Consider the following 24,882-nt stretch of genomic DNA (forward strand, 5'->3'; position numbering starts at 1 on the left):
GGCCGGGAAAAACGCTTCCATGGCAAGCACAGCCCCATCCACGAGGAAGAGCCTGTGGGCAGGCAGGAAGCATTGACAAGAACCAGCCACGTCACAGACTTCCTAGAGTTCATTCAACAAGAGTTTATTGTGGTTGTACTGTGAGCTCGGCCAGAGCTGCTGAGTGGCGGGTGTGGACGGATCTGGTCCGGGATCATTTCATGGGGCCATGGTCTGTTACATCTAATAACAAAAAATCGGCGTGTCTTTCTGTTCATATCATTTTTCTAGTATTTCTTATTGCATTTTACAAAGGCATTGCTTTGTGAAGAACTGGAAATTGAGAAAGAAGCCGGATCCTCTGCCACAGATAATGTGAGACACGTGGACACAGCGTGTGTAGTCTGGGTGGGTCAGGGAGCTCCTGCCCTGCTCTCTCAAGTGGAGACCGGGGTGCTCAGATACCTGCACCCCTCCCGCCCATGCACACACAGGAGCCCCTCCTAGCACCAACTCACTTCCTCCTCACAGCAGCCCAGGACGTGGCCCCTGCTGGCTCAGCAGACAAGAGGGGAAATCGAGGCAAGAAAGGCATAGGGGCTTCCTTGACCAAGGCGCCAGGGTTCTCTGTGGGATAAGCCTCAGCTCTAACCACTGCACCATCTGGGCCTCACTGCCTGGGAGGGAGACTTGTGCTTGGGGGCACAAGGGTACACTCGGATATCCTAGGTACACACGGGTGTGCACACACACCCTCACCCCATAGTACTGCAACCTGGGGCCCTGGAGCATGGTGGCAGGGCAGCTTCCAGCCTCTCCCAGGTCTGGCCAGGTGGATGGTCCAGGCTAACCTGTGAGATCCCAGACTGTCTGTGCCTGGGGATGGCCGGCCAGCTGGGCGTGGGAGCCTGGGGGAGGGTCAGCATGGAGCCGGTGGTTGGGGGTGGATAGGCAAGGTCAGGAGGCCATGGCAATGATGGGAATCTGTAGGCCGAACCTGGGCCCCAGCACAGATGGGGCCCCGAAGGGGAGGGGGCAGTGGACAGGGAGTCCCGGTTCCAGGTGGGCAGCCATGGGTTGGGGCTGCAGCTTCGGGGAAGACCCTCTGGCGGGGACAGGGAGGTTGGGGGACTGAGAAGCAGCTGCTGCTGCAGGGGGCAGTCCCTGCAGGGTCAGGTTGGGCTGCTGCCCCCCAGGTTGCCCACTGCTGTGGGGCCCATCTGTGTGAGGCAGGCAGGGTCAGACACTGTCCTCAGAGGGGGTTCTCTGTGAGGCCACCTCACAGGGTCGCTTCTGGGGAAGGCCCATGCCGGGTCAGGGCTGCTGGCAGCCCCTCGGGCCAAAAGAGCCTGGGACAGCCCTCAGCCCTGCCCCTTGTTGACTTGGGTGTCTTCCTTTCCTTGGCTCTGCAGGGTGGCCGGGGGCCTGGGTGCCTGGCTCCAGCTTACACCAGGGGCCCTTCCATGCCTCCCTTGGCTGGACAGCTGGGGCATAGGCAGCAGGCCCTGAGCAGGGCGGACAGCCTCCTGCTGTGTGTACAGCCCCTCGTGGCCACCACATCCCACTGGGGCCATGCTCGGGCAGTGGGCGCACTGGTCTGTGTGCCATGCCTCAAGGGGGCGGAAAAGGGTGGGCCTGGCAGGAGGCTGGGGGCTGTCACTCTGGGTGGGCGCCCATTATGGGCATGTGTGGGGCTGACCTTTCGCTGGGCACTGAGCCCAAGCCTGACATCTGGGGGTCTCTGGAGACCCCTCTGGCTCCCAGAGGTGCTGACTGTGGTCTTGGACAGTCAGATGTCCCCAGAGAGGGCAGCTGTTCAGGGTGACCACATTCACGGTCACACCAGGGAAGGCCTGTGCCCAGCACCCAGCCGTGGGGAATGTCTTGGGAGGAAACCGCCACTCCTCAGGGCACGGCGAGGGGTTGTATCCACCTCTTACACTGTGCCAGCCAGCCTGGGCCAGCACGTGGTGTGGACAGCAAGGATGGACGCTGGGACATCCATGGCCCAGGAGTACTGGGAAGTCTGTGCTCCTGCCGGACACCGAGAAGGGGCCTGTGTGCCCAGGACAGCCTAGCCCCGCCCCTGCCCAGTGCCCACCCCTGCCTAGTATGGATTCCAGCTCCTTATGGCCCCCCTCAGAGTCCCCGTCCCAACCCTGGGCCTGGGGGTGACTCACAGCTGACTTCTAGGCTCCGGCTGGCGTTGAGCAGAGTCCGGGAGTCCTCGTGGCTGACCACACACGTGTAGGTGGCTGGCTGAGGGCTGGGCGGGGCTGGGACACGCAGCACACTCCAGGCCCAGAACGTGGTGCTCCTGGGCTGTGGAGGGGGGCGTGCGGGGGCAAACCCAGAAGTGTTCACCTCACGCTGGTCCTCCAGCCACATCAGGAGGATGTTGGGGGGCGAGAAGCCAGACACCTCACACAGGAGCCACGAGGCCGCCTCGGGAGGGTCAGACGAGGCCAGCAGGTTCAGGGAAAGCTTGACGGGTGCCTGCGCAGCTGCGGGGAGGTGGGGGAGGCTGTCAGGCTCTGGCCACGGGGGCACTGGGAGAGAAGTGGGGCCGGCCAGGGTGCTGGTGCCTCCCTTCTCCTTTCCTGTGGAGGATGACCGGTGCTGCTGGGGCCCAGCTGGGGTCATGGCCCTGGGGCAGGCGTAGGGGTCAGCAGGCTGTGGGCACCCTCGTCTCCCCACCTGGGAGCCAGGCTCACCGGGTTCTCTCAGCGCCATCAACCTCTGGGGTGGGAGGCTGGGATGGTTCAGTGTGCAGGTGACGGAGGTCCCCGCGTTCCACAAGGACCTGGGCAGGGTCAGACGGCTGTGCTGGCTCTGGGAGCCGTTGCTGTGCCGCTCCAGCAGCCCTTCCTCCACGCCCCCTGTGGGGACCTTCCCAGCCACCTCCCAGGTCAGGTGAGCATCCTTCAGGTCACTGCCCACCACGAAGCAGGTGAAGGTGGCTTTGTCCCGGAGCCACAGGTCCTGCACTGCAGGGGTTAGCAGGTAGACGCCAAGAGGCTGGGTGTGGCTCGGACACTCTGCAGGGGAGAGCAAACGAGAGCAGCTGTGGCCGGACCTTCGGGAGCAGTAGGCTCCCGCCCGGGGCTCTGCACAGAGCTCCACAGTGGCCTCCCCCTGAGTGTGGTGCCTGCCTGCACGGCCAGGCACACAGACCCTGTCTCCAGGGGCTGGGGGATCTGTGGGCAAAGACCCGTTGAGCCATGGGCGGTGCCACTCTTGGTCACTGTCCGGCCCTGGGGCTGCTGCCCGCTCTTCCCTGAGCAGACTCGGGCCTTCGTTGCTTCCAGAGCTCTCTGCTCTGTGGCTGCCAGGCCGGGACTCATCCACAGGCCAGGTTTTTCTGGTGCCGTCTCCCTGCAGGGACTGACTTAACCACTGTGCTCTCCTCTCCCCAGCTTCTGGCCAGGTGTGGCCAGTGGAGGGCACTGGGGAGGAGGCGGTGTGGGGGACACCCTGGTCAGAGGCACAGAGGCTGGGCATGGAGCCTGGGACTCCCCCTCAGCCTGCCCCTGACCCATGTGGCAGAGCCCTCTGAGGGGCCTGAGGGGCCCCACGCCTCTAAGAGCTCCTTCCTCAGTGCTCCCTGAGTTCGGGGGGACCCTGACTGTCCTCGTGGGGGTCCTCAGGGGTCACGAGTTTCTAAGTGTCCGGGGCCCATCCACATAACAGCAATCGCTTCAATAGTTTAGGGCACCAACGGCCAACTAGTTATTGGGCAATAGGTGTTTTGATAGCCCAGGGGTCAGAAAAAACCTGGTGTCTTTGTCTCTCTCTCTTCTTGTTCCTCTTTCTCCTTCTCCTTCTTCTTCTCTTCTCCTCCTCTTCCTAAAAATTTTTAATTGACAAAAATTATACATGTTTATCATATACAACACAATGTTTGAAATATGTGTACATTGTGGAATGGCTAAATCCAGCTAATGACCATGCAGTATCTCACATACGTGTCACTTTTTGTGTCAAGAACACTTAAAAACTATTTTCTTAGCGGTTTTCAAGGATACAATCCGTTGTTACTAACCACTGTCCCCATGTACAAGGGATGTCCTGAACTAATTCCTCCCAACTGCAGTTTTGTGCCCTTTGACCAACATCTCCCCAGCCACCAGTGCCCGCTCCCTGGCACCACCTCTCTACTGTCTGCCTCTAAGAGTTTGCCTTTTTAACCTGCCAGATGTAAGTGCAATCATGCAGTATTGCTCCTTCTGTGCCTGGCTTATTTCACTTAGCATAAGTGTCCTTCAGGTTCATCTACATTGTTGCCAATGACAGAATTTCACTGTTTTTAAAGGCTGAATCGTATTCCATTGTGCCCCATACGTACCACATTTTCTTTACCTGTGCATCTGCTGAGGGGTGCTTAGGTTGGTTCTGTATCTTGGCTTTTGTGACTAGTGCTGCCTGAGCTTTTGGGATCATATCCAAAAATCGTTGCTCAGACTAATGTCATGGAGTTTTCCCCCTATGTTTTCTTCTAGTAGCTTTATCTGTTCAGTTAAACCTTTAGACTGTTTTCTTTTCTTTTTTTTTTTTTTTTTTTTGAGACAGTCTCGCTCCATTGCCCAGGCTGGAATGCAGTGGCGCAATCTTGGCTCCCTGCAACCTTCACCTCCCGGATTCAAGCGATTCTCCTGCCTCAGCCTCCTGAAAAGCTGGGATAACAGACGTAGGCCACCATGTGCTAATTTTTGTATTTTTAGTGGAGACCGGGTTTCGCCATGTTGGCCAAGCTGGTCTCGAACTCCTGACCTCAGGTGATCCGCCTGTCTCGGCCTCCCAAAGTGCTGGGATTACCGGCATGAGCCACCGCGCCTGGCCTAGACTGTTTTCAATTGATTTTTGTGTAGTTTCATTAGTCTGCACATGGATATCCAGTTTCCCCAGCACTATTTATTGAGGAAACTGTCCTCTCCCCATTGTGTTTTCCTGGTGCCTTTGTTGAAAATCAATGGACTGCAAGCATGTAGATTTATTTCTGGGCTCGCTTTTCTGTTCCATGGGTCTGTGTGTCTGTTTTTATGATCCTGTTTTGATTACAACTGCTTTATAGTATGTTTTGAAGTCAGGTACTGGGATGTTTCCTGCCTTGTTCTTTCAGCTCAAAACTGTTCTGGCTTTTGGGGTTGCATTGAACTCCTCTTTTTCCCCTTCCCTGCTTTCCTCTCCCCTCCTCTCTTCCTCTTCCTCCTCCATCCCACTACAACTGTAAAGACATTTCTAGGCCACACAAAACAGCCCCCGGCTGCATCTGGCCTGTGGGTCACCGTCCACGGGGTCATGCCATAACCCTGGCTGTGTCTGGGTCAGTTGGGTCCTCCAGGTGGGGCAGTGCAGACCAGACCTGAGGGCTTAGCTGCTGAGGTCAGCACACCTCAGGCACCGCCCGTGAAGGGTCATCTTTAACTGGATGCCGTCCAGGCCCCAGGGCAGGGGGCCCTAGCCTGTCTGCACCCCATGTTGTTGTGGGAAATCGAGGTGCCAGGAAGCAGCGCCGTGGTCTGAGTAAGAGCACTTGGCTGTCTTCTTGGAGGCTGCCCAGGGGAAGGCCCCTCCACCAGCAGCCAAGGCCGTGGGGTGAGTGACTTGGCTCCAGAGCTGGCTGCTAATGCACTCAACTTGTTTTGTTGCTGAGTCTCCACTGCCCATGAGGAGGGTGGAGAGGGACAAGTGCAGATGCCCGGGTCAGGGAGCAGCTGCCCTCACCTTTCTCATGGGAAGCTCTGGCCCTTGTGCTGTGTCCATCTCCCTGCATTTGATAGGCCCACCCCAAGCCTAGGAGCTAGGTGTGTTTAGAGACGGGAATGTCGTGTTTCTGCACCTGCAGAGTGGAGGCAGATTCTGGCCCAGGGTGAGGGCACCGTGGCCACTCATCCAAGCAGGGGCCACCATGGCTGTGCCATGCCTTTGTCAGAGCTTGACCCACATCCCAGAGGGTGGCTGAGGGACAGTCATTCTGCCTGTTGGTCCAGCCCACCTCACTGCTGCTTCTCCTAACAGCTTCCTGCCCTACTCAGAGAAAGTCAGGCACGTACCCGAGTTCTCCCGAACACTGAACCCGTCCCCCCGGCCACATGGACATCTCAGGCAGGTCAGAGTCACAAGCCTCAGACTTCTCAGATAAAGTTCTTGGTGAGGGCCCTCTTTCCCCTGCCATTCTGAGGTGGCAGGCAGGGTGAGGGTGAGAAGCAGGCTGGCCACCAAGATCCAACACTTGGAGAGAGCCAGGCTGGGGCGGGCGGGAGGCGAGGGTCACGGGGAGGGGCTGCTGCGGCCCAAGTGACCTGTGAGTCTGCAAGCCGGACTGCCTCGGCAGGGTGGCTCTATGTGAGGCTGCGCTGAGAGCCCATGCCTCAGCTCAGCGAGGCAGAGCTGGGTCCATGGGCCAGGGAGCCGGCCCAGGTCTGCTCTGGGAGTCTGCTGGTTGTTTGGCATCTGCTGGCCCCCAGACTGGGGCTGGCTGGCAGTAGGTGTTTGTTAGAGGTCCGTTCAGTGTCCCTCTCCTTACCAAAGTGTGACTTGGAGACTCAGACAAGGAGTTATGAAGGGCTGCCTGGAGGAGGCGGCTGAGGAATGAGCAGGTGGGTGGGGGTGGAGTGTGCAGGGAAGGGGCTTCTCACCTGTGTTACGGGTGGTGGCTGGGGCTGTGGTTGCCTTGGCGAGGCTGCCCTCTGCTTGGGGTTGTGCAGTGGGCACTGAGGAGGCCTGTGCCTTTGGAGACTCTGAAATCCAAGGAAAAGTGCAGGTGAGGCTGAGGGCAGAGGGCATGGATGTACCAGAGGCTGGGTTGTGGACAGGCAGGTGGGGGGCACAGGCAGCCAAGCAGGAAGAAGGGAGGGGCCGCAGCATGGGGTGGGAGCTTGGCTGTGGGAAGCCCACTAGACAGTCACCTTTGCTGGGCAAGCTGCCTCCGTGCACACTGAGGGAAGGGTCTGGAAGGAAAGTGATCTGGGTATTGGGAGATGGGCCTCAGAGAGAGGGAGCGGAGGGACTGAGATGGGGAGGGTCCGGAGGGGTGGATACAGGGTGAAGGGGGAGGAACGTGCTCTGAGGGGGAGGTGGGGGTTGCCTCACAGCCCAGCCCTTGCTTCTGTCTTTGTGGTCAGGCCCTGAGTGGAAGGTGCTGGGGGTCCTGGGGGGCCCTTCTGGGTGATCTCCGGTGCGACCTACCTGGCCAGCGGAAGATCTCCTTCTTACTCTTGCTGGCGGTGTGCTGGACCACGCATTTGTACTCGCCTTGGCGCCACTGCTGGAGGGGGGTGGAGAGCTGGCTGCTTGTCATGTAGTAGCTGTCCCGTCTTTGTATCTCAGGGAAGGTTCTCTGGGGCTGGCTCTGTGTCCCCATGTACCAGGTGACAGTCACGGACGTTGGGTGGTACCCAGTTATCAAGCATGCCAGGACCACAGGGCTGTTATCCTTTGGGTGTCTGCACCCTGATATGATGGGGAACACATCCGGAGCCTTGGTGGGTGCTGGAAGACAGACACAGTGGGAGTCTGAGGCTGGAGGCTCTGAGGACAAGGGGCAGGGCAGGGCAGAGGACCCTGGCAGCAGGGTGACAGGGAAGGCAGGGAAAAGGGGCCCAGGAGGAGTGCCCAGGGTGAGCGGGGCTGACCAAGTGGCCCGTGAACACGAATGCCCCTGCTGCCGCTCCTGTGTTGTGAGTCAGAATAACCGAGTGGGACCTGTGGCTTTGTGGACCCTGGGCTCTTGTTGCCGAGAGCTCCTGGAAGGGAGGGGTCTTCCCTCCAGAGGCTTTGGTGCCCCTCTGGGCATTCCTGGGACCTCCACCTTCCCTGCTGCCCCCAACCTCTCTGGAACCCACTTCCCTTGGGCCCCTGAGGGGAGGAGGGGCACTCAAGCCTGGGAGCAACGGGCCTAGGGCTGTATGACCCTCCTGCCCAGGCTCCCAGCCACGGGTCCTCAGCTGCCCTGCAGGGGCCATGGGGTCCCTGTGGAGGGCCATGCGTCTGGCCCTCTGAGTGGCTCCGGAGGAGCTGGTGGGATTGGATGCTCCTCTCCCTGATTCCTGGCCCCAGGGGCTCTGCTGCCTGGGATAAACCCATGAGCTGACCTGGCCCCTTGTAAGGGGTGTTACTCATGGACAGCAGGCTGTAGGGTGGCAGGTCCCAGAATGTGTGGCTGCCTGCTGGGCTTGGCTCTCAGCCTCACTTTCCTGGAGACCTGGGTACCCAGGGCAGCTGAGCAAGTGCAGGGTTCTTGCCTGGGTCCCTGGAGGCCCCAGGTGCTCCGTCTTAGTCTAACCTTCTACTCACCCCCTGCCTCCACCCATGTCTGCCCACCACCACACTGACTATTGCTGCTCAGGTGGGGCCAGGTGTTCCCGTTCTTTGGCCTGGTACGCAAGGTCATCTGGTGTGGCGGTGGCCCCATCCTCCTTCCCTTCTCCCTTGGGGCAGAAACTGTCGCCCTGCTTTCCCAAATTCTGGATGACCCTCCTCTTCTCCCCATTTACATCCTTTATCCTGGGATTTTCTGAGCAGGATTGTCAACCCATTGTCAACCCTCCACATCCTAGGCAGTATTCACGGCCCATCTCAGAATCTTCCACCTGAACAGTGTGTTCCTAATTCCCTTCCTCGAGCCACCTCTTGGACCCCTCTGGGCTGTTTTCATTTTTCCCTGAGGTTCTGGGATGTCAGCCCTGCCAGGCCTCCCTCTACAGCACCACTGGTGAGACACTAGGGATGGGTCTTGTTATGGGTTGAGTTGTGTCTCCAAATAAATGGACGTGTTGAAGCTCTGACCCGTAGGGCCTCAGAATGTGCCCTTCTTTGGAAGCAGAGTTTTGCAGATGCAATCAAGTTAAGATGAGGTCACGCTGGAGGCAGGTGAGCCTCTGACCCAATATGGCTGGTGTCCTTATGCAAAGTGGAAATTTAGACACAGACATGCACGCAGGCAGAATGCCATGTGAAGGTAAAGATGGAGGCGGAGGAGCTGTTTCCAAAAGCCAAGGAACACCAAAGCTTTCCAGCAAACCAACAAAAGCCAGGACAGACACCTGGAACAGATTCTCCCTGCCAACCCAGGGGAGCCAACCCTGCCCACAGCTTGATCTCAGACACCTGGCCTCCAGAAATGAGACAGAATACACTTCTGTTGTTTCAGCCATGCAGTTGTGGTACTTTGTTACAATAGCTCATAAGAAACTAAAACAGATTTTGGCTTTAGAAGTGGTGGCTTAAGAGAAGCAATTAAGACCAATTCGCCTTCTAGTGGAAATAAGACATCAAATACAAAGTTTTAAGAGAAGTGAATGCAGCAGCGGCGGCTGCCTGTCTCTTACCATGTCGGGTGCCTGGTCACTGCGAACCTTGCAAAAGCTTTGGCATGGAATCATTCCTCCAAGTCCATTAACAAGGGCTGGGGCCTGAGCAGCCAGTCGGCCCGGCGGCAGAAGCCACGCATCCCAGCTCCGGGTAGTCCGGGGAGACCCAAAGCCCAGGCCGGGCCTGGCAGCCACCCTCCCAGAGCCTCCACTAGGCCAGTCCTGCTGACGCCGCATCAGTGATTCTGAACAGAATCTGTCCTTCTAAGGTGTCTCCACAGTCCTGTCTTCAGCACTATCTGACTGAGTTTTCTCTTATGCCACCAACTAACATGCTTAACTGAAATAATTCAGGGTAATGATTTATTTATCTGATTTAATTGATACCTAAAACTGTGGAAATGAATTTGGGATAGGGTAATGTGTAGAGGTGAGAAGAGTTTTCAGGTGCATGTTAGAAAAAGCCTAGATTTCCTTGAAGACTATGGTAGAAATTTGGACATTGAAGGTGATCCTGGTGGGGGCTCAGAAAGAAAGAGGAGAGCTATAGAGAAAACTCCTGTCATCTTAGAGAATACATAAATTGTCACAAACAGAATGTTGCTAGAAATGTGAATGTTAAAGATGCCTCTGGTGAGGCCCCAGACAGAAATGAGGAAGATGTTATTGAAAATTGGAGGAAAGGTGACCTTTGTTAGAAAGTGGCAAAGCACTTGGCTGAATTGCATTCTATTTATGGTAAGTAGGACTTACAAGTGATGAACCTGGATTTTAGCTGAGGATATTTCTAAGAAAAGTGTTGAAGGCACAACCTGATTTCTCCTGACTGCTTATAGTAAAAAGTGAGAGAAAGTGTTCAGTAAACAGGACCCACAACTTGAACAGCTGGAAAATTCTCAGCCTGTCCAATAGCATGCTCTGGAAACAAGGCCAAGGATGTGTCTGGGCAACCATTTGTTAAAGAGATTGGAATCATGACTTATGGATCCAATCAACCATCTCAGCAGAAACCAGGAGTAGAGATAAGGTTATTGAGGATATAACTGTGCAGGGCTCTCTTGTCTGATGACTCAAACCCCCAGGAATTTCATGGGAAGCTGACAAGGATTTTGTGAATTGTAAAACAGAAGAAACAATGCCAATTGGATGGAAGGGAAAGAAGACCAGAAAAAATGAAGGAAGGGTGACTTTGAGATCAGAGCCAAAGATGAGGAGGCTGTGGGGGCTCTGGCCACCATGGGCGAAGAGCATGGGGTCACCCCAGTGGGCCTGGAAGATGGAGCACGGACCCAGGAGGATGAGCCTTGAGCCTTAAATCTAATGCAGCTTTCCCTGCTGGGTTTGGGCTTGCTTGGGACCCATGGCTCCTCTCTCCCTTTCTATGTATCCCTTTTAGAATAGGAATGTCCATCCTATGCCTGCCCCATCATTGTACTTTGGAAGCAGATAACTTCTTGTCAAGTTACAAAGGTCCACAGATGGAGAGGAATTTCACCCAGAATGAATCTCACCCTGGGTTTCTCCCACACTTGATGCAGGTGATATTTCGCTGAGATTGTGGACTAAGAGTTGGTGCTGGAAGGGGTCAGCCGTTCTGGAGATGTTGCTATGGGATGCAGGGATTTTGCCTGTGAGAAGGACATGATTATGGGGGGAACGGAGGGCAAACTGTCATGGGTTAAAATGTGTCCCCTGTAAATTAATGTGTCGAAGTCCTAACCCCCAGGACCACAGAATGTGACCTTGTCTGGAAACAGTCTTTGCAGCTGCAATCAAGTTCAGATGAGGTCACCCTGGAGTAGGGCAAGCCTCTGATCCAATATGACTGCTGTCCTCATGAAAAGGGGGAATCTGGGCACAGACAGCACGTGTGGAGAACGCCCTGTGAAGATGGTGCTGCTTCCATAAGCCAAGAGCACCAGAGACGGCCGGCAAAGCCCAGCAGCAGGGAGAGAGCCTGGAACAGAGTCTCCCGTGACACAGAGGAGCCAGCCCCGCCAAGGCCTCCATCCCAGATGCCCGGCCTCCAGAACCAGGACGGAATAAACGTCTGTTGTTTAAGCCACGCAGTCTGGGGTGCAGTGTTGCCAGGGCCACAGTTAACGGATACGAGTGTTGTCCTGAGCTGCCAGCCCCACAGGCTGCACGAGGCCTCCCTGCCCCAGCCCAGTGCAGACTCCCCAGCCCCCTGGGTGTGCCCTGGGCAGTGTGGGGCTCCTCACTCCATCCTCCCCCAGGCTGGGAGGTTGAGCCTGTGATGAGCTACATGGGGTGAAGCTGGAGCGAGAGGCTGGGAGGCGACTCGGAGCCCACGGTTGGAGGATGGATTTCCCCAGGGACCCACACGTGCACCTCCACCTGTCTCCTGGACATTGTCTCTGAGGGCAGGGCTGGTGCCAGCTCAGGGATCCAGCAGGGACAGAAGGGCGGGCCGGGTCCATGTGGAGAGCACATTTAGTGGGAGGGACACAACTTGTACCCAGCAGCCCCCAGATACCCATGACAGCTGGCTCAGAGCAAGTGCCAGGCTGCTCCTCAGAACCTGAAATGTCCTCCTTCTGGGCCCCCAGCTTATGAGCCCTCCCAAGACGCCATCCTGGATGCTTCCTCTAGGACACTTCTATGGCCTTGGGGTCTGCCCAGTCCTTCCAGCCTGGTCCTCTCCCCCCAGCCACCTGCCTCCACCCTGGTCTCACAGCCACTGCTGTCCTTGACTTTGCCATGGACTGTGGGTCACCCCTGGGTGACTGCACCATGGCCAAGTGAGCCTCCTGGCATGAGCCCCCAACTTTGGCTTGGCTGCCATCTCTGAAAAAATCCCCTGCTCTTTGATCCTGCTCCCACCTACCTGGGGAGTCATTTTTCGGCACTGCCCCAAGCCTGGCCACCACCTGCCCATCTTCAGGGTGATGGCAGAGACTTGTCCTCCCCACTATGCATTCCCTAACGGCTTCTAAGGACGACATGGTCACGCCCCCCATCCTCATCCACAAGGGGATGGCACTGGGAGCCCTAGCATCTGGGCAATGATGAGGACCTCGTGACGGGCTTAGTGCCTGTATGAGAGAGACCCTCGTGACGGGCTTAGTGCCTGTATGAGAGAGACCCTCGTGACGGGCTTAGTGCCTGTATGAGAGAGACCCTCGTGACGGGCTTAGTGCCTGTATGAGAGAGACCCTCGTGACGGGCTTAGTGCCTGTATGAGAGAGACCCTCGTGACGGGCTTAGTGCCTGTATGAGAGAGACCCTCGTGACGGGCTTAGTGCCTGTATGAGAGAGACCCTCGTGACGGGCTTAGTGCCTGTATGAGAGAGACCCTCGTGACGGGCTTAGTGCCTGTATGAGAGAGACCCTCGTGACGGGCTTAGTGCCTGTATGACAGAGACCCTGAGAGCTCCTTCACCATCTTCGGCTGCGCGAGGATGCAGTGAGGAGGCGCGTCTCTGAGCTGGGAATTGGCCCTCGCCAGACGTTGAAGTTGCCGGCGCCTTGATCTTAGACTTTCAGCCTCCAGCGCTGTGGGAGGCAAATGTCTGTTGCTCAAGCTTTGCAGCCGATAGTGTTTTGTGATAGCTGCCCAATTAGACTAAGACACTCGTTCACCTGAAACTTTTGCTCCAACTTCCACTCCCCTGCCACGGGCGCGACTGCTACCCCACCCCTGTGCTCCTGTGGAGTGCAAGGCCCCCACACTGTGCAGACAGGCCCACATGCTCTCGAGGGCTCAGCCTGCACCTCCTGGATCCCGGTGAGGCCCACATGCTCTCGAGGGCTCAGCCTGCACCTCCTGGATCCCGGTGGCGTGCACCACACATCATGAAGGTTTGGGGCAAGGCCAAGAACTGTCTGGGCTTGCTGGGAAGGGTGGCAAGGTGACCCGGGCAGTTGTAGGCATGTGGAGCACACACAGAGGCCCCCGAGGCCTGAGCCCCAGTCTCTCAATTCAGGCTGTGCTTGGAGGACCAGGCCTGGAACCCTCTCCTGCTCAGTCCCCTTCCTTCCATCAGGCTGGGCATGCCCCGAGTCTGAGTCTGGCCCACCTGCTTCTGCGGCCCCTTTCCTGGGCACGTGGCTTTCCTCGAAACCCCCTGCGCTGGCTGACCCAGCGCTCTTTTCCACAGCTCCCTTTGGAACTGGGGTCCCCCTTGAGATGCCCATGTAGCAGGAAAGTTTTGAAAAAGAAACAAAAACCCTCACCAGAAAGCAGTTTCATGGATAAAATGTGCATATTTATTTCAGGGCAACAAGCGTATACACAGCAAAGCAGTGTGGGGTAGAGCCCACCTCGTGGCCTGCAAGCCAGCCAGCCCCTGCCGGTCGAGAAGGAAGCCTGTGTGAGAGCACACAACTGGAGGCCGGGCGGGGAAGAGAAACACGTGCCAACAGGCCACGCAGGCCAGGACCCCAGACCCGGAGGCAGCGCCCCTTTGAGTTCCTCTCTCTGGTCTCCGATGTTCTTCTGTTGGGATCATTTCACCTACAGGCAACAGAGACAGTGTGAAATGCTTTCCCCGTGGTCGGGAAGGGAGCCGGGGCAGAGATGACCCAGTGGGGTGGTGTGGGGGCCTCCGGGCTAGACGTCCAGCCCAGGCTGCTCCCTGGGCCCCACACTCGCCCTGCACCCTCCTCCCTGTGCCACAGCCGTGCTACCTTGAACAAGGTGACGGTGGTACTGTAGAAGAGGCTCAGGAGGAAGAGGACGATGAAGGTGGAGGCGGTGGCCCACAGGTTCTCAAAGCCCTCCTCGTCGGCGCTCACCTCCCCCTCTGCAGGAGACACAGCACGGGGGAATAGGGTCAGGCTGGGGTGGCACCCAGCAAAGCCCCCCCGGGGCCCATCCTCTAGGCCCACCCTTGGCCCCTAGGCTGTGCTGCACCCAGGGGTGGGGAGAGCAAGTGCAGGGGGGCTCGGGCACTGCCCAGGGCATGGGCTGGGCCCCTGAAAGCCTGATGCAGCGGGGGCACAGGCCGAGACTGGGCAGGGCTGGGACTCTGAGGTCTTTTCCTCAGAGTCCTGGGGTGGCAGAGAGAGCGTGGGGGATGCAGCACACAGACCAAGGTGGGGGCTGGAGGGCGGGGCCCCAGCGGAGCAGCGGCCAGCATGTCCTGACTCTCCTGGAGGGGGAAGCAGGGGGTGTGGCCCTGCCCTGTGCTGTGGGGGCTGGCAGGTGGGAGGACTGAGCTGGGGGGAACCCGATCCTGACTCCCTCACCAAGGCCCTGACTCTCCAGCTCCCTCTTGGAGCAGAGTCTGCATGGGGACATCCTGGCGGACTTGTCCTACCCTGCCAGGACCCAGGGAGCAGACAGAGACCTGAGCTCCACAGTGGGATGAGGACATTCGGGGGGTTGCATCCCCTGCACAGATGGGCCCTTGGGAGACACCTGGAGCCCAGGACTCCAAAGGGCCAAGAGTGTGGCGGGGACTCGGAGGTGGCCCCAGTTAGAGACAGCACTGTGCGTTGGGTGTGGAGACCTCACTCGGGCCCTGCCTTCCCTGCTGGGGCTCGGTCCTTCCCGGGCTGCTGCTGTCTGACCTCGCCTGCTCCCTGCTGTGGGTTGGGGAGCAGGTGGTATTTGCAGGGGCAGACTTGCTCTAGCTCATCTCCTGAGGCCTCCTGCTAAGAGGAGCAGCTGCCCAGGGCAGCCACTCTGCCCTCTGGGCCCATATGCTTAGTCACTGCCTGCTCTCAGCACATGGCACAGGCTCTGGTTCTGCTCACCGGTGGGTGTGGGGGCTATCTGCTGCCTTCATCAGGAGCCTGGCCTCAGCAGGGGTCACATGCTATCCCTGGGGCCTCCGCTCCCCAGGCAGAGCACAAGCTGGGTGCCATGGCAGCACCTCCAAGCAGAGACAGAAGGACAAGCAGAGCCTGGGCCCAAAGCCCCGGTGCCAGCACAGCGCAGGGAGCAAACTGCTGCAGGGACAGAGTATCCGGCAGGGCCCTGGGAGAATGTTGGCGGGGGCCGGCCGGCATGCGCACGTGTTGTGCCTGTGGGTGTGTGCATGTCTGTGTACGCGTGTCCATCTGTTGTGTGCCTGTGGGTAGACGTGTGTGTCCACGTGTTAGTGTATCACATGCTCCTGTGTGTCTGTGTCAGTGTGTCTCTGGGTGTGCATGTGTCCATGTACTTGTGTCTGTACATGTGTGTGTGTTTGCATGCACATGTGTGTTTGTGAATGTGTGTGTCTGTGTGTGTATGCCTCTGTGCTAGTGTGTCTGTGTGTGTGCATGTCCTGCACATGTATGTGTCCATGTGTGCACATATCCATGTGTGTGCCCGTGTGTGTGTGTGCCTGTAGTCAGTGTTCTCTTTGTGTGCCTGTGCATGTTTGTACATGTGTGTCCACATATGTTTGTGTGTGGGTCCATGTCTGTGTATGTGTGTGCCCATGGGTTAGCACGTCTCTGTGTGTCCATGTGTTTGTGTGTGTCCGTGTCTGTCCATGTGTATCCACACATGCCTGTGTGCTGCCTGTATACGTGTGGCCTTGCTTTCAGCTTTCTTTCTGGAAGCAGTAGGAGGAATGGCAAGTCTGAGGTCAGCCTGCTGTGAGCAGCTGCAGGGAATTCAGGGGTTTCTAGAAGCCACTGAGGCACGCAGGTGGGTGAGGCAGGGGTGGGGGCTGTGGAGGAAGGTGTTCTGCAGGGGAGGCGCAGGGTGGGTGCAGCACAGCCGCCGCCCCAGTAGGCCAGAGCATCGTGCACTCAGGACCAGTATCTTTTGAATGGATCTTTTTATTTCTAATTTTATAAGATGCAACATCTCACCCCGTTGACACGGTTAGTTTGCATGCACACACAGAGCGGCCAGCCGCCCCGAGCCTGTGGGCAGGCCAGCAGGGTCAGTAGCAGGTGCCAGCTGTGTCGGACATGACCAGGGACACGTTGTACAGGGTGGGTTTACCGGTGGACTTGTCCACGGTCCTCTCGGTGACCCTGTTGGGCAGGGCCTCATGGGCCACCACGCAGGTGTAGGTCTCCCCCGTGTTCCATTCCTCTTCGGACACGGTCAGGATGCTGTGGGCGAAGTACCGGCCTGGGGCCTGGGGCTCAGGCATTGGGGCGCTGGTCACATACTTCTCCGGGGACAAGGGCTGCCCCCTCTGCATCCACTGCACGAAGACGTCCGCGGGAGAGAAGCCCGTCACCAGGCACGTGATGGTGGCCGACTCCCGCAGGTTCAGCTGCTCCCGGGCTGGTGGCAGCAAGTAGACATCGGGCCTGTGCAGGGCCACCCCTGTGAACAGAGATGGTGGTGAGGGCGGGGCAGTGGGGGGACCAGCCTGTGGGCTGGGGTTGAGTCCCCTTTTCCCCAGTTGCCCAGACAACGGGGGAGTGAGGGGTGCTTTCCACCATGCCCCAGAGGCCAAGGGAGGTCCCAGGGAGTGCAGGAAGAGGGGCAAGAGTGGGGCCTACCCTTGGGCCGGGAGATGGTCTGCTTCAGTGGCGAGGGCAGGTCTGTGTGGGTCACGGTGCACGTGAACCTCTCCCCGGAATTCCAGTCATCCTCGCAGATGCTGGCCTCACCCACGGCGCTGAAAGTGGCATTGGGGTGGCTCTCGGAGATGTTGGTGTGGGTTTTCACAGCTTCGCCATTCTGGCGGGTCCAGGAGATGGTCACGCTGTCATAGGTGGTCAGGTCTGTGACCAGGCAGGTCAACTTGGTGGACTTGGTGAGGAAGATGCTGGCAAAGGATGGGGGGATGGCGAAGACCCGGATGGCTGTGTCTTGATCTGGAGTCAAGAGAAGGGAGTCAGAGGTGGGGCAGGTGTGGATGTGGGCGGAGGCATGGTTCCCACCCAAAGAGTAGCAACTGCCTCTGCCGAGCCCAGGGGTCCTGCCGCCCGAGCCCCTGCCCTTGGCCGCTCTGGGAAGCCAAGGCTCAGGGAGTAGATGGCTGCATCCGGGGTGGCGAATGCCAGACCCGAGTGGACCCCTGTGTGTCGGTGGGTGCTGCCCCTGGGGACAGGTCACTCACCGGGGACACACATGGAGGACGCATTCTGCTGGAAGGTCAGGCCCCTGTGATCCACGCGGCAGGTGAACATGCTCTGGCCGAGCCAGTCGCTCTCTTTGATGGTCAGTGTGCTGGTCACCTTGTAGGTCGTGGGCCCAGACTCTTTGGCCTCAGCCTGCACCTGGTCCGTGGTGACGCCAGACCCCACCTGCTTCCCCTCGCGCAGCCAGGACACCTGAATCTGCCGGGGACTGAAACCCGTGGCCTGGCAGATGAGCTTGGACTTGCGGGGGTTGCCGAAGAAGCCGTCGCGGGGTGGGACGAAGACGCTCACTTTGGGAGGCAGCTCAGCAATCACTGCAGTGAGGGACACGTGTCAGCCCGGTGCCCGCCACTCCCGCCCCCTTCGGCTCCCTCTCTGTCCCGGTGGCTGGGCCCGGCCCTCACCTGGAAGAGGCACGTTCTTTTCTTTGTTGCCGTTGGGGTGCTGGACTTTGCACACCACGTGTTCGTCTGTGCCCTGCATGACGTCCTTGGAAGGCAGCAGCACCTGTGAGGTGGCTGCGTACTTGCCCCCTCTCAGGACTGATGGGAAGCCCCGGGTGCTGCTGATGTCAGAGTTGTTCTTGTATTTCCAGGAGAAAGTGATGGAGTCGGGAAGGAAGTCCTGTGCGAGGCAGCCAACGGCCACGCTGCTCGTATCCGACGGGGAATTCTCACAGGAGACGAGGGGGAAAAGGGTTGGGGCGGATGCACTCCCTGAGGACCCGCAGGACAAAAGAGAAAGGGAGGGTGAGGAGCTGCCTCCTCGTGCCCTGCCTGTCGGGGCTGAGTGGCGTTCTGAGTGCCCTCACTACTTGCGTCCCGCTGTGGCTGCCCCACCAAGGCCGAGCCCACCTGCAGGCCTCCAAAGCCCAGACTGTCATGGCTATCAGGGGTGGCGGGGCCGTGGTGAGGCCTCAGGTCTTTGTCCAAGGCTGCTGGGGCTGCAGGCCTCAGCCCATCCTGCTGCAGGGCCCAGCACTGAACACCTGGACAGACCTGGGGTCTCCTGGAGCAGGCTGAGCCATCCCTGCCACCATTCAGCTGGCTGCCCTGCTGCACTCTGAGGCCTGACTGCCCCTGGCTCCCTGCTCAGAATGGCTGAGGGCTCAGGTTTGGGTGGACCAGGCCTGCTTTCCCCCGAGGCATCAGCACGTAGGTGCTGCACACACTCAGCTCCCAGCACATGCAGCTGGAGGGCCCAGGTTGCATACCTGAATGTGAAGCCTGGAGCCACACACCCCGCAGGCAGCCAATAGAGTCCCTCCAGCCCAGCTTCTGCTGCCCCCAGCTCAGTCACACTCCAGCTACCCTGAAGTCTCCCCAGGCAGACAACCCAGGCCTGGGAGTGAGTATAGGGAGGGTGAGTGTGATGGGGAACGCAGTGTAGACTCAGCTGAGGCTATCCATCTATGTCCAACAAGATCATGAAGATTGGCCCAGTGCCATGTCCTCCAGTTCATCCCAGCCCAGGCCAGCTCAATCCAGTTCATCCCAGCCCAGGCCAGCTCAATCCAGCCCAGCCCACCCCACCCCAGCTCAGCAAAGCCAAGCTCAGCTCAGCCCAACTCAGATGAGCTCAGACCAGCTCAGCCCAGCCTAGCTGAGCTCAGACCACCTAAGACCATCTCAGCTCAGCCCAGCCCAGCTAAGCCCAGTATAGCCCAGCCCAGCTAAGCCCAGTATAGCCCAGCCCAGCTAAGCCCAGTATAGCCCAGCCCAGCTAAGCCCAGTTTAGCCCAGCCCAGCTAAGCCCAGTATAGCCCAGCCCAGCTAAGCATAGTTCAGCACAGCCCAGCTCAGCTCAGCACAGTTCAACCCAGCTCAGCCCAGCTCAGTGCAGCACAGCCCAGCTTAGCCCAGCCCAGCCCAGCTCAATCCAGCCTGGCTCAGCCCAGCCCAGCCCAGTTTGGCTCAACCCAGCTTGGCTCAGCCCAGGTCAGCCTGGCTCAACTCAGCCCAGCCCAGCCCAGCTCTGCTCAACCCAGCTCTGCTCAACTCAGCCCGGCTCAGCCCAGCTCAGCCCAGTTCAGCTCAGCCCTGCTCAGCACAGCACAGCAGAGCTCAGCTCAGCCCAGCTCAGCTCAGTTCAGCTCAGCCCTGTTCAGCACAGCACAGCAGAGCCCAGCCCAGCCCAGCCCAGCTCATCCCAGCTCAGCCCAGCCCAGCCTAGCTTAGCTCAACCCAGCTCAGCACAGTTCAGCTCAGCCCTGCTCAGCACAGCACAGCAGAGCCCAGCTCAGCCCAGCTCAGCTCAGTTCAGCTCAGCCCTGTTCAGCACAGCACAGCAGAGCCCAGCCCAGCCCAGCTCAACCTAGCCTGGCTCAGCCCAGCCCAGCCCAGCCCGGATCGGCTCAACCCAGCTTAGCTCAGCCCAGGTCAGCCCAGCTTAACTCAGCCCAGGTCAGCCCAGCTTAACTCAGCCCAGCCCAGCCCAGCTCAGCCCCCAGCTCTGCTCAACCCAGCCCAGCTCAGCTCAGCTCCGCTCAGCCCAGTTCAGCCCAGCTCAGCCCAGCCCAGCCTAGCTTGGCTCAACACAGCTCAGCTCAGCCAGCCCAGACCAGCTCAGCTCAGCCCAGTCCAGCTCAGCTCAGCCCAACCCAGTCCGGCTCAGCCCAGCCCAACCCAGCCCAGCCCAACCCAGCTCGGCTTAACCCAGCTCGGCTCAGCCCAGATCAGTCTGGCTCAACTCAGCCCAGCCCAGCTCAACCCAGCCCAGTTCAGCCCAGCTCATCCAAGCTCAGCTCAGCCCAGCCCAGTTCAGCCCAGCCCAGTTCAGCTCAGCTCAGCCCAGCCCAGTTCAGCCCAGCCCAGTTCAGCTCAGCTCAGCTGAGCCCAGCCCAGCCCAGTCCGGCTCAGCTCAGCCCCGCCCCACTCAGCCCAGCTCAGCTCAGCCCAGCTCAGCCCAGCTCAGCTTAGCCCAGCTCAGTTCAGCCAGGCACAATCTGGCTCAGCCCAGCCCAGCCCAGCTCAGCCCAGCCCAGCCTAGCTCAGCACAGCCCAGTTCAGCTCAGCTCAGCTTAACTCAGCTCAGCTCAGCTCAGCCCAGCCCAGCCCAGGTCAGCTCAGCCCAGCCCAGCCCAGCCCAGATCATCCCAGCTCAGCTCAGCTCAGCTCGGCTTAGCCCAGCTCAACCTGGCCCAGCCTGGTCCAGGTCAGCCCAGCCTGGACCACCCAGCCCAGCTCAGCTCAGCCCAGCTCATCCTGGTTCAGCTCAGCTCAACCCGGCTCAGCCCAGGTCTGCTCAACCCAGCCCAAATCAGCTCAGCCCAGCCCAGGTCATCCCAGCTCAGCCCAGCACAGCCTACTTCAGCTCAGCTCAGCTCAGCCTAGGTCAGCTCAGTTGAGGTCAGCTCAACTCAGCCCAATCCAGCCTGGCTCAGCCCAGCTCACCCTAGCTCAGCTTAGCTCAGCCCAACTCAACCCAGCCCAGCCTTGCCCAACCCAGCTCAGCTCAGCCCAGCCCAGGTTAGCCCAGCCCAGCCTCGGCTTAGCTCTGCTCAGCTCGGCCCTGCTCGCCTCAGCCCGTTCAGCCCAGTTCAGCTCAGCTCAGCTCAGCCCAGCTCAGCCCAGCCCTGGTTAGCTCAGCCCAGCTAAGCTCAGCTCGGCTCGGCTCTGCTGAGCTTGGCCCAGCTTGGCTTAGCCTGATACAACCTGCTCAGCCCAGTTCAGCTCGGCTCAGCCCAGCCCAGCCCAGCGTAGCTCAGCTCAGCTGAGCCCAGCCCAGGTTAGCTCAGCCCCAGTCCAGGTCAGCTCAACTCAGCCCAAACCAGCCTGGCTCGGCCCAGCTCACCCTAGTTCAGCTTAGCTCAGCCCAGCCCAGCCCTGCCCAACCCAGCTCAGCTCAGCCCAGCCCAGGTTAGCCCAGCCCAGCCTCGGCTTAGCTCTGCTCAGCTCGGCCCAGCCCAGGTTAGCCCAGCCCAGCCTCGGCTTAGCTCTGCTCAGCTCGGCCCTGCTCGCCTCAGCCCGTTCAGCCCAGTTCAGCTCAGCTCAGCTCAGCCCAGCTCAGCCCAGCCCTGGTTAGCTCAGCCCAGCTAAGCTCAGCTCGGCTCAGCTCTGCTGAGCTCGGCCCAGCTTGGCTCAGCCCGACACAGCCTGCTCAGCCCAGTTCAGCTCGGCTCAGCCCAGCCCAGCCCAGCGTAGCTCAGCTCAGCTGAGCCCAGCCCAGGTTAGCTCAGCCCCAGCCCAGGTTAGCTCAGCCCAGCTCAGCTCTGCCCAGGTTAGCTCAGCCCCAGTCCAGGTTAGCTCAGCCCAGCTCAGCCCTGCCCAGGTTAGCTCAGCCCAGCTAAGCTCAACTTGGCTCAGCTCAGCCTAGCTTGGCTCAGCCCAGCACAGCACGCTCAACCCGGTTCAGCTTGGCTCAGCCCAGCCCAGCCCAGCCTAGCTCAGCTCAGCCCCGCTCAGCCCAGCCTAGCTCAGCTCAGCCCCGCTCAGCCCCGCTCAGCCCAGCCCAGCCCAGCCTAGCTCAGCCCAGCTCAGCCCAGCCTAGCCCAGCTCAGCCCAGCCCAGCTCAGCGCAGCCCAGCCCAGCTCAGCGCAGCCCAGCTCAGCTCAGCTCAGCCTAGCCTTGCTCAGCCCAGCTCAGCTCAGCCCAGCTCAGCCTAGCCTTGCTCAGCCCAGCTCAGCCCAGCTCAGCCCAGCTCAGCCCAGCCCAGCCTAGCTCAGCTCAGCCCCGCTCAGACCCGCTCAGCCCAGCCCAGCCCAGCCCAGCTCAGCCCAGCCCAGCTCAGCTCAGCCCAGCCCTGCCCAGCTCAGCCCAGCTCAGCCCAGCTTAGTGCAGCCAAGCCCAGCTCAGCTCAGCTCACCTGGTGCAACTTAGCCCAGCTCAGCTCAGCTCAGCTCAACCCAGTTCAACTCAGCCCAGTTCAGCTCAGCTCAGCCCAGTTCAGCCTTGTTTAGTCTAGGTCAGCTTAGGTCAGTTTTGCCCATCTGAGTCCATTTCTGAAAGCTGGATGGAGTTGTCATGGCCAGAAATGGTCAGCCCACCAGACCTGCTTGTCTCAGCTAAAGCCATCTCATTGCCGGGTTCCTGCACAGCCAGGCTGGCTTCCATCTTTTGTCTCCCTCTACTTGATACCCCAGTTCCCTGCAGTCCTGCCCCAGCGCCACCTGGGTTTTGGTTCCAAAGCATTACCAATCATTACCACCCTCCACTACCTGGGTGGAATATTTCTTTGCTGCTTTAAAGTCATTAAAACATCTTGAGAATGAGACCAAGAATTTAGGAGCCTGTGCTGTGATAAAAATGAGCAGGTCCCCTTGCTCTAGAAGTGGCAGCATATCTTCTGCACCAAGAGGAGGGTATTGAGATGCTCAGAGCCTCCACCTTCCCGGAGCATCCCCTCCCTTCTGAGTCTGCAGTAAACCCCTGCCTTTAAATTCCCTCTAGATAACAGTCATCATTGGAAACAACCAAGAAATGCATTTTATCTGAATTTGCCACTTAAAATTCTGCCATTTACCATAAATCGCTTTGGAAGGCATGGGCTACTTTCAAGGGTGCGATGATGACCTACAGTCAATGACTTAGACAAGGGCGATGCCAGTGGGGCTTGGTATGTTCTCAAGCATCATTACCCATGCCATCCCCATTCAGAGGTTGTGGAGCAGCTCGTGCGACCTCTCCTTCAAATGGGCTTTAGGGAAAGTTAAATGGGAGTGACCCAGACAATGGTCACTCAAAAGACTCACATAAATGAGTCTCCTGCTCTTCATCAAGCAATTAAGACCAGTTCCCCTTCTAGTGGAAATAAGACGTCAAATACAAAGTTTTAAGAGAAGCAAATGCAGCAGCGGCGGCTGCCTGTCTCTTACCATGTCGGGCGCCTGGTCACTGCGAGCCTTGCAAAGCTTTGGCATGGAATCATTCCTCCAAGTCCATTAACAAGGGCTGGGGCCTGAGCAGCCAGTCGGCCCGGCAGCAGAAGCCACGCATCCCAGCTCTGGGTAGTCCGGGGAGACCCAAAGCCCAGGCCGGGCCTGGCAGCCACCCTCCCAGAGCCTCCGCTAGGCCAGTCCTGCTGACGCCGCATCGGTGATTCGGAACAGAATCTGTCCTTCTAAGGTGTCTCCACAGTCCTGTCTTCAGCACTATCTGATTGAGTTTTCTCTTATGCCACCAACTAACATGCTTAACTGAAATAATTCAGGATAATGATGCACATTTTACCTAAAACTTATCCTAAAGTGAGTAGTTGAAAAGTGGTCTTGAAAAATACTAAAATGAAGGCCACTCTATCAGAATATCAAAGTGTTTCTCCTTAATCACAAAGAGAAAACGAGTTAACCTAAAAAGATTGTGAACACAGTCATTATGAAAATAATGCTCTGAGGTATCGAAAAAGTATTTGAGATTAATTATCACATGAAGGGATAACAAGCTAATTTAAAAAACTTTTTGAATACAGTCATAAACTCTCCCTAAGACTGTTTAATTTCTTAAACATCTTACTTTAAAAATGAATGCAGTTTAGAAGTTGATATGCTGTTTGCACAAACTAGCAGTTGATAAGCTAAGATTGGAAATGAAATTCAGATAGTTAAAAAAAGCCTTTTCAGTTTCGGTCAGCCTCGCCTTATTTTAGAAACGCAAATTGTCCAGGTGTTGTTTTGCTCAGTAGAGCACTTTCAGATCTGGGCCTGGGCAAAACCACCTCTTCACAACCAGAAGTGATAAATTTACCAATTGTGTTTTTTTGCTTCCTAAAATAGACTCTCGCGGTGACCTGCTTCCTGCCACCTGCTGTGGGTGCCGGAGACCCCCATGCAGCCATCTTGACTCTAATTCATCATCTGCTTCCAGCTTCGCTCAATTAATTAAAAAAATAAACTTGATTTATGATGGTCAAAACGCAGTCCCGCATCGGGGCCGACAGCACTGTGCTAGTATTTCTTAGCTGAGCTTGCTTTGGCCTCAATTCCAGACACATATCACTCATGGGTGTTAATCAAATGATAAGAATTTCAAATACTTGGACAGTTAAAAAAATTAATATACTTGAAAATCTCTCACATTTTTAAGTCATAATTTTCTTAACCATTTTTCTCAGAAGCCACTTCAAACATATCCTGTCTTTTAACAGTAAGCATGCCTCCTAAGATAAACAATCCTTTTCTCATGGAAACCAGCTTCAAGGCACTGAGGTCCTGGAGCCTCCCTAAGCCCCTGTCAGGACGGCAGCCACCGTTTCTGGGCTACCCCTGCCCCCAACCCTGCTCTCATCAAGACCGGGGCTACGCGTCCCTCCTGGCTGGATTCACCCACTCCGACAGTTCTCTTTCCAGCCAATAAAGAATTTAAGATGCAGGTTGACACACAGCGCACCTCATAATTCTAAAGAAAATATTTCACGATTCGCTGCTGTGCAGCGATCTTGCAGTCCTACAGACACCGCTCCTGAGACACATTCCTCAGCCATCACTAAGACCCCTGGTTTGTTCAGGCATCTCGTCCAAATGTGGCTCCCCAAGCCCCCAGGCTCAGTTACTCCATCAGACGCACCCAACCTGAGTCCCATTTTCCAAAGGCATCGGAAAATCCACAGAGGCTCCCAGATCCTCAAGGCACCCCAGTGCCCATCCCCTCCTGGC

The 24,882-nt window shown here is 58.0% G+C and overlaps 4 non-coding genes, 2 gene segments (V, D, J or C) and 1 further gene, besides 1 other annotated feature; all 7 read right to left on the reverse strand.

Moving 5' to 3' along the window:
- Positions 1–24,882, reverse strand: part of IGH (immunoglobulin heavy locus) — a 1,293,408-nt gene that overhangs the window by 251,771 nt on the left and 1,016,755 nt on the right.
- IGHD (immunoglobulin heavy constant delta) lies at positions 194–7,470 on the reverse strand. The segment is given in 6 exon segments: positions 194–222; positions 2,160–2,483; positions 2,694–3,017; positions 3,754–3,825; positions 6,618–6,719; positions 7,168–7,470. Coding segments are annotated over 6 exon segments (1,154 nt in total), but the record flags the coding sequence as incomplete, so codon positions are not given.
- On the reverse strand, positions 13,759–18,010 carry IGHM (immunoglobulin heavy constant mu). 2 transcript variants are annotated; one of them is given in 6 exon segments: positions 13,759–13,767; positions 13,941–14,056; positions 16,198–16,530; positions 16,710–17,027; positions 17,273–17,608; positions 17,699–18,010. In that variant, coding segments are annotated over 6 exon segments (1,424 nt in total), but the record flags the coding sequence as incomplete, so codon positions are not given.
- Positions 19,306–19,365, reverse strand: MIR4539 (microRNA 4539). Its single transcript, NR_130468.1, has one exon. It is a non-coding gene; the product is annotated as a microRNA 4539 (primary transcript).
- MIR4507 (microRNA 4507) lies at positions 19,917–19,968 on the reverse strand. Its single transcript, NR_039730.1, has one exon. It is a non-coding gene; the product is annotated as a microRNA 4507 (primary transcript).
- Positions 19,958–20,035, reverse strand: MIR4538 (microRNA 4538). Its single transcript, NR_130467.1, has one exon. It is a non-coding gene; the product is annotated as a microRNA 4538 (primary transcript).
- MIR4537 (microRNA 4537) lies at positions 21,277–21,346 on the reverse strand. Its single transcript, NR_130466.1, has one exon. It is a non-coding gene; the product is annotated as a microRNA 4537 (primary transcript).
- Positions 23,582–24,163: an enhancer.

Source organism: Homo sapiens, chromosome 14 (genome assembly GCF_000001405.40).
Source record: "Homo sapiens chromosome 14, GRCh38.p14 Primary Assembly".
NCBI lineage: Eukaryota > Metazoa > Chordata > Mammalia > Primates > Hominidae > Homo > Homo sapiens.